The 8561-nt window shown below is 52.0% G+C and overlaps 2 annotated features.

Annotated features, from left to right (window-relative positions):
* Positions 1882-2382: an enhancer, noted in NCBI's record as "NANOG-H3K4me1 hESC enhancer chr3:11009752-11010252 (GRCh37/hg19 assembly coordinates)". NCBI's record gives its function as "activates a minimal SCP1, AML or CMV promoter by ChIP-STARR-seq in naive H9 embryonic stem cells {active_cell/tissue: H9 hESC(naive)}" and the evidence as "EXISTENCE:reporter gene assay evidence [ECO:0000049][PMID:30033119]".
* Positions 2383-2883: an enhancer, noted in NCBI's record as "NANOG-H3K4me1 hESC enhancer chr3:11010253-11010753 (GRCh37/hg19 assembly coordinates)". NCBI's record gives its function as "activates a minimal SCP1, AML or CMV promoter by ChIP-STARR-seq in naive H9 embryonic stem cells {active_cell/tissue: H9 hESC(naive)}" and the evidence as "EXISTENCE:reporter gene assay evidence [ECO:0000049][PMID:30033119]".

Here is an 8561-nt window from a genome sequence, read left to right on the forward strand (position 1 = left end):
GAACCTTGCAAGACCAGGAGGTATAAAAGGACCTCCGTGATGTGGCCAAGATGGTAGCAACACCACCAACCAAGGGTGCAAACAGTGATTGATGCTGCCATGGCCCAGAGGAGTGCTAGGGACCCTAGGAGGGTGGGCTCAGTTCCCTTCTCCAGGGTCCCAGTCCAATAGACTCCTAGACTCCTGAGGCATGGAGCTACCACAGCCCTTGGGGTGGCCGTGTTGTCCCAGGGCCATGTCTGTGCTGCTCCCCCATGCAACCTTGGACCCACCCTGGCAGGTGGGGTGGAGGCTCATAAAAGTATGATGAATAAATGAATGAATGAACACTTGAGTCCATAAGCTAGTTCAGGAGCCAGTGGAGCTCTTCCTGTATTTCAGGCCCAATGTATTTCAAAGTCCCTCCCCGCACCACATATGGCCTGAGGATTCTCTGGAAGAATCCCCCTGCTATCCCCACACACAAGACACTTTCCTCTTAGTAGTCTTTTGATTCAGCCAAATAAACACTCGCCAGGCCTATGACAGTTCTAGTTGGAAGGAAGAAAATGCTCCACTATTTTCATTAATTCCTCCTCTCCCATGTTGTCCAGGTAGAATTTCGCAGGAAAACCGCAAGGGCACTTTTAAGAAAACCACAGAGAGAGCTGTTGGCTGGAGAAGCTTGGCCAAGCTGGTGGGGAAGGGATGGTGCGTGCTCCCCATGAAGTGCTCACCCAAGAGTCCACCTGTCTTGAGGGTTGGATCCTCCCAGAAACAGACCTTGAGACAAGCAAGCAGTTAATTTAGGAGGAAGCACTAGTGGGGCAGGGAGGAGGAGAAGGAAAGGAAGTAAATAGCCTATTTCAGAGCAGGCTACCACCAGTGGCAATGGGGTCTCAATCCCTCCTACACAGACCCCACCTTGGGGCCATCCCACAGAAGGGCATCAAGCTGGGTACTCATCCTCCCACTTCTGTCCCTCTCGCTCACTGTTCAAGAGCTGCCACCAGGGCTGAGAAGCTCCCGCATGTCCAGCCTCCCCTGCACAGCCAAGAGAAAGCCCTTGGGTGGAGGGGTGAAGGGCATTGCAGGGGGAGCTACCCACACCACCATCACCTGATATGCACCATTAATCAATTAATCACCCATCAGCAGGCTGGAGCCTCCCGTGATGCATGTGTGCTTAGGCTGTGTCTGCAGGTCTGCCCTTTATAGCCCCGGCAACAGAGCTGTGAGACTGTGAGAACTGCCGTCTGCATTTCACAGATGAGGAAACGGAGCCATAGAGGTGACTTAGCTTTCCCAAGATCTCATCACTAATAGGCAAGAAATAAAAGTTCCTGCACTAATATAGCTTAAATTCTAGGGGAAGAAGACACACAATAAATAAAATGGATAAATAAAATGTGTGGGATTTTAAAATGCAATAAATGCTATGGAGAAGGGGTCAGGGGACAGGGAATACTGGGGTGGGGAGAGGTAGAGAATTCAATAGAATTCAATAGAGGTAGAGAATTCAAAAAAGGGTTCCCAGAGATGACAGCATTGAAGCCAAGACTCGAAGGAGGTGAGAAGAGAAGGGACCCATGTGGCTAAGTGAGGCACCGAGTCCCAGGTAGAGGGAACAGCAAGTACAAAATGCTGAAGCAAGAGTCTGCCCAGGGCTGGGCATGGTGGCCCACGCCTGTAATCCTAGCACTTTGGGAGGCCAAGGCTGGCAGATTGCTTGAGACCAGCCTGCCCAACATCGTGAAATCGCATCCCTACTAAAAATAGCAAAATTAGCCGGGAGTGGTAGTGCACGCCTGTGATCCCAGCTACGGAGGAGGCTGAGGCACAAGAATTGCTTGAACCCAGGAGATGGAGGTTGCAGTGAGCTGAGATTGTGCCACTGCACTCCATCCTGGGCAGCAGAGCGAGACTCTGTCTCAAAAAAAAAAAAAAGAGTCTGCCCCCAGGGTGTCCAGAACAGGAATAGCCAGGAGGACTGTGTGGCTGAGATTAGGAGCTGGTCATCTCAGGGGATGGGGGCCAGGTCATACAGGTCACTACAGGGACTCTGATTTCTACTCTGAGTGAGGTGGATTCGGAGCAGAGGAGCAACGTGGTCTGACTTGCATTGAACAGAGTCACTCTGGCTACCAGGTTGAGAGGAAAATAAAGTAATGCGTGAATTAATGAATGAGCGAGTGAATGAAAGAATCAGTGAGTGTCCTTGTACCTTCTTACGGATGAGTCTGAGCCACTTACTTTAATGGAGAGACAAGGGGCAAGAGTTTAAAGGGAAGCTAGTGAAGCCCACACTGCAAAGGGTGGAATTCAAGCCCAGCAGACAGCAGCTGGGCCTGGCGGGAGATGCTGGTCTTGGCTGTGTCTGCAGCTGCCCCTCCACCCCTGTGTTTCCGCCCTGCCAGCACAGCCCCAGGGAGCAGCTGTGATCACAGACATGAAAGCAAGCCCCGTGCAGAAGATGATCAGAAGCCTTGTGACAACAGTTGTCCCTCAGAGTGCTGCTTTCAAGAGGCCTCGGGCCATCCCAGGGAGTCCTTCTCATCCTCCTCCAGCCCCTGGGCTGCAGAGCCCAGGCCATGACACTCTTACTCAAAAACAGCACACAGTTTCTGAAATAATAACACAGAGATGAAGGCTCCCCTGCTCTGAAGTGGGGGAGACTCACAGCCGCCTATGAAGACACCTTAGGGGTACTGGTCAAAAATGTGGCTGACAGATGATGAAACGTACCCCCGATCAGAGCATTTTGAATCAAGCATTTTTTTCTCTCTCCTCCTCTGTCTCTCTGCCTTTGTGTTGCAAATTGTGAAGTTAGAAAGGAAGGAAGATAGGAGGTGAAGGGAGAGAAAAATGAAGGAAGGGAAGGGAAAAGAATAAAAGAAATGGAAGACCCTTGTATGAGCATCAACTATGGGCAGGACACATTACCGAATACTTTCTATTCTATTCATTAGTTCATTTAATCCATTCAACAGCCCTATGAAGTAATTCCTATCAATAGGCCTATTTTGCAGATGTGGAAAATGAGGCTCAGAGAGGTTAAGTCACCTGCCCAAAGACACAGAGTGGAGAAGTGATGGAGCTGGCACTGTGTGTTCTAATGCTGATTCTGCCTACATGCAACAGTCTGATGGGGGGCATGTTCTGTGCCCCATTTCTTGGCAGAGTCAAGATTGGACACCCTGAGATAGCTGCATCCCAGGCTCTGTGCCTGGGGGAGTGATGGAGCCTGGAGAAGGAAAGATACCAGGTGAAGGAGCCAGGGCTCTTCCTCTTTTTAGCCCCCTGAGCTCCCCTCTTGTTCAGCCACCTGGCATCACTCAGTTCCATGTGCCCTGGTTTCTCCACTCACTCACCATCCATGAGCTGAGCCATGCTGTGGAACCCAAGAGGACTCAAACCTCAGCCCTGCCCATATGGGGCTACTAGGCCAGGAGGCACATGCAACTGAAATCCAGGGTGAACATTTTCAACTATTCCCAAAGGACGTCCCTTCGATCTTCCACAGGGATTTGACTAATTCCATTTATTCCCCACCATTCCCTGCATAACCCTCCATGACATGCTATGTGCCTGACCCTGGGGCCACAATGGTGCACAAGACAAGGTACCTGCCCTCTGGAGCTCTCAGCCAGGCTACCAGGGGAGGCAGATGTGTACACCAACAGATCCAGAACAAGATTATAAGTGCCTCAGAGGCAATCTTTTCAGAGTTGAGTGGAAACTCAGAAAGAGCTCACTGTAGAAGGTAGAGTAGACATTGGAGCTGGGTTTTTGAAGCATAATTAGGAGTTTTCTCAAACCAAAAAGACAGGCCTGGGCATTCCAGGTGGAGGGAAGAGCTTGGGCAAAGGCCCAGGGGTCTGAAAGGACATGGTGCAGCCCTGGAATTTCCAGGAGGCCACAGCAGAAGGAGGCATAGTGTGCCCATGTCTCTTCTTTTTTCTTACTATGCAGTCTCTAAAAATCCCCTCTACTGCTGGAGCAATTCCACTCTGCCCTCAATGTGCATCCCTCAAGTGTTAATTAGTCCAGCACTCCCACTGGAGATCTTACCCCTAGTCTCTCCCAAAAAGTATATAGGCATTCATCCAAATAAAACAGGTCTCTCCCTTGGGGGAGGTCTGCTGCTGAGAGCATATGATTTTCCTCACATTGTTACTCAAAAGATTGGAGAGGTTATTTCCTTCCACTGGAAGGCAGGAGTAAGGAGAGAGGCTGCCATTCCAGCGAGGAGGCCAAGTGACTTGGCAGTGCTATGGGAGTGGATTGGGGAGCAAGGAAAAGTGATGGGTGGGATGGAGAGAGAGGCTGGATCCGATGGAGGATGCCAAGGGCCCAGGCTGGGCTGGTAGACATGCTGATGGGGTAGGGGGTGCTGTGGGCAGCTTGGTCAACCTAGGCCCCGGATGGCACAGCCAATGGCACCCCAGCCTTGCTTGGGGTAAGCACAGAGTTGGCATTTGGAGCTGTCAGAAGTGATTAATTCATCAAAAACACAGCACACTGGAAAACTGGCTGTGACTCAATGGCTCATTAATACTCAGACTCTGATCAGCCCGCAGATGCTAATTAAAGCCACTCCGAATAAAGGGCAGCCTCCTGAGAGCTCCAGCATGAACCTTTCCCTCACTCCCCTTGGCAGGGCACCCTCAGAGCCTGGGGGAGGTGAGCATAGTGGGTGGGCTCTAGGCCTCCATTGAGGACAGACTCATTCTTGGTAGCTCTTGAGTGACAGGGCCCAGTGGCATTTGGAGAGGATCTGTTCCAATGCCTGCCATTTTGCAGATGGAGAAACTGAGGCTCAGGGAGGAGCAGGGGCTTTCTCAAGGCCACTTAGCAAGAATGTAACCAAGCCTGGCTCAACTGAGGCCTGAGCCCTTCCTATTCTGTTCCTCTTGACACTGTGCAGGCTGAAGGAAGGACAGGAAGGTGAACACAGTGTAGCCACAGCCCTCAGGATGATTACAGGTCAACGGGAGGTCATTTCTGGGAGGGTTTCAATCTCGCCTTGTTCAACTCCACATCCCAGCCCCCAGCCTAGAGCCTGGTACAGAGAAGATGCCTAACAAAATGCTGAACAAATTTATGCACGAGTGGACTATAATTTATGCCAGACTGTGAACAGGTGCTTTAATCAGATACAAAGTGCTCTGTGAGTATGGAAGAAGAAGAGATCAAGGAACGCTTCCTGGAAGAAGAAGCATCAAAGTGAGCCTTCAGGTAAAGAGGCACAGACTGGCCCTGCCTGAGCCTGCTCTGAGTATCTTCTCATTTCATCCTCACGACAACCCAACCATGATTATAGCAATGATTATATCAATTCTACAGATGAGGAAACTGAGGTCCAGTCAAGTTAAGTCCTTTCCCCAAGGTCCCACAGCCAGAAAGTAAAGGAGTTGGGACTTGGATCCAGGTCTTCCTGGCATCAAAGCCCATCCCTCACCAGTGTTTGGAAGCTCAGCTAAAGAAGCCCTGACAGAGATGAGTCTTCCCAAACTTCCCAGGACGTGGCAGGATGCCTATGTCCCTCCATCCCAACATCATGCCTGCCCCCTCCTGTCATAGGGTCTAGTCAGGTGTGTCTATGGAGGGGATCAGGATGGGATCACCACGTCCACATCCAGCATGGGTTTTGCAGCCTGGGAGCCACCCACCAACATCTGTTGAGGGGACTTTAACCCAAACACCTCCGCAGAGGGCTGCTGGGAGGATTCCATGAGCCAGACTCACAAACTGAGCACTGGGCATGCAGTGAGTGCCCTCCAGGAGGAGCAAAGGTTGCATTTGGGCTGTTCATTGTTATTCGCATTTGACCAGCCTCCCTTCCTGGATTCAAAGTCATTCTTGTCTCCAGAGAGGAGCAGACCGAGGACAGTCATGGGTCACACAGCCACGGGAGGCTCAAAGCCAAGTTTTCCAACTCCTGACTCCCCAGGAAAGGTTCCTTGTTCTCAGAAAACTGCCCATTCAGCCAAGGTTGAGGTCTGTGTCCTTTGACAACATAAAAGCCCCTTCTGATGAAATGATTCAACTGCATTTCCACCAGGGAGCCAACAGCTGCTTCCCACGTCATGCTGTTCCCACCCCTGCCTGGTCCCGATCAGAGTCTGGAGGCACTGCACCTCAGACTCACCTGGAGTGTGCTAGGGAAAGTGCATGAGCCCAGGGGAATGTGTGTGTGTGTGTGCCCAGTGTGTGTATGAGAGTGTGAGAGTGTGTATAAGCTCAGGGGAATGTGGTTTTTTGTACCTAGTGTGAGCCTGTGTGTGTGTGAGCCCAGGGGAAGCATGTGTGCATGTGCACATGCCCAGTGTGAGTGTACATGAGTGTGTGGGTGTGTGTAAAGGGTGTGAGACCGATGTGAGTCTGTGGGTGGTGCGTGTGAACCCAGCAGGAGTCGGAGGGAGGGGGTGTTGTTTCAGTCGGCTAAGGCTGGTGACGCTGCAGTTACAAATGGCCCCCAGTCTCAATGGCTCACAGCAGCACAGATTTACTTCTCAGCATCTACCAGTTAATTTGCAGGTCACCTATGGCTCTGCTCTCTGTCAGCTGCATCCCAGGACCTAGAGTAAACGGGCAGCCTCTAGCTGGAACACTGCGGGTCACTGTGGCAGAGGGAAAAGAGCATGAAGGAGCCATGAACTGGTTTTCAAGGCTCCTGCGCAGAAGTGACTCCTCGCTCTTCCACCCTATTCTATGGCCAGAGTGGACACACAGCCGAGCCTGACTGCAACAGGATGGGAAGTGAAATCCCCTCTTGGGGAAGGCCAGGAAATACCTGTGAACAAGGACACAGGCTGCACGCCTGTGATTCCATGAGGAAAAGCACACGGCTTCCTTGACTTCTCCCTTGCATGTGGGTCCAAGTGAAAAAGAGCCAGTGTGCAAATCTGCCCTTTGGGGTGTCTTGCTTCTGGGTGCAAACACATATAGGCTGGTGTTTCTGGATTACAAAAATGTGTGATCACTGTGTGCAAAAGCCCGTGGACCAATGGACAGGTGCCAGAGCACGTGTGATGGGAAGAATGCGGGAAGGGAGTGCGTGTGTGTATCCTCACCCTCATCGCAGCACTGTCTGAACCCGTCTGTATATACACCGAACGCCCCCTACATTCACACCCGAGCATACGCTCCCTTCCACAAGGAAGAGGCTCTCGCAGATGGGACGTGAGATGCTCAATTTCCCAACTGATGATTTAGCAGGTTCATTCACCCCTCATTTGTGGCCATCTGTCACCTTCCACAAGGTGGCTGTCTCCACCTGGCCTGCACACTGTGGTTGCAAAGGAATGGCAGCAGGACCAAAATGCACAGCTTCTGTCCTCAGCTGCCAACTCTGAAGATGGGATCCCCCTCCCAGTTTCAGGACTGTCCTTCTAAGAGCTGCCCTGAGGGTTAGGAGCCCCGTAGGAGACAGGTCAGCCTTAAGCCTCCCCAAAAGATATGTCTCTTAATGCCTTAGACTCCCCCAAATCTCCAGCAACTTTTCTCTCCTCCTAGTCTGTCCCCACCTTCCTTAAATGGGCCTCTGGTGGGAAAAAGCCAGCCCCTAATAATCACTGAATCGCCACTCCTTGGGTGCTGGTCCTTGTGCCAGCACTTGACACGTCTCATTGACCTGTCACGAAACCCAGCAGACAGGGACTTCTGTTGTTCCCATTTGACAGATGAAGAAACTGAGACTCAGAGAGGTGCCCAACCTCACACAGCCCACTTACAGCTAAACGGGGGCTTCTACCAAGGCCTCCCTGTTCAGCCTTTTTCAATGGGTCCAGGCTGCTCAGGTCACCTCCTCCAGGAAGCCGACCAGACCAACGGCCTGGAGGGGCTGTAGCAGGACAGGAGTCCTAGATGTGGATGCTGAGGGAGGGAGAGCAGGCAGTCCAGGTCACTGTGTCTTCTTCTCTGGCAACACTCACTCCTCAGGTAGACTCAGAGATCCTCCCTCAGATAGACCTCCCTTTGGCCCTGACTCCAGCCTCTAACACATCCTAAAAACCAGCCTTCTGAGCTGTGGGTGATTTTATCAAGTCCCATCTCAACCACCGCCTGCCCTGGTGCCCCATCCCCCTTGGGATGGGACTCAGCCTCACACGTGCTCTATGAGGCCTGCGCACCTCTCCAGCTTTGGCACTCCATGCTCCCTCCTCTCTTCCTTCCTCACACCTCACACCCGCTGCGCTCCTTATTCCCTGGTCCCCTACCAGGAGCCCCTTTCCTTCTCCTTCCTGCTTTCCCTGTCCAACTCCTGACCAACTCAGCAAAGTCTTTCCACAACAGGGACCCCGTAGTTCCCTACCCCACCCAACAGTGGAATAGCACCCCTCACTCCACAAGGCAACCGCATCTCCACTGCTGAATTCCAAGTTCCCTGTTAACTGCCGCATCCTTGGCTAATCACTTAACAGAGACCCTTGATCTCCCCCGCCCCAGGCCAGGTATTACTATTCTAGAGACCAGCGTTATAAGAAAACGAAAATGGAAGGCAGAATGGAGAGTGACTCAGACTGGGCAGCAGCTGTCAGAAAGGTGTTCAGGGAAGGCTGGCAGTGACAAGCGCGCAG

Source organism: Homo sapiens, chromosome 3 (assembly GCF_000001405.40).
Source record: "Homo sapiens chromosome 3, GRCh38.p14 Primary Assembly".
NCBI lineage: Eukaryota > Metazoa > Chordata > Mammalia > Primates > Hominidae > Homo > Homo sapiens.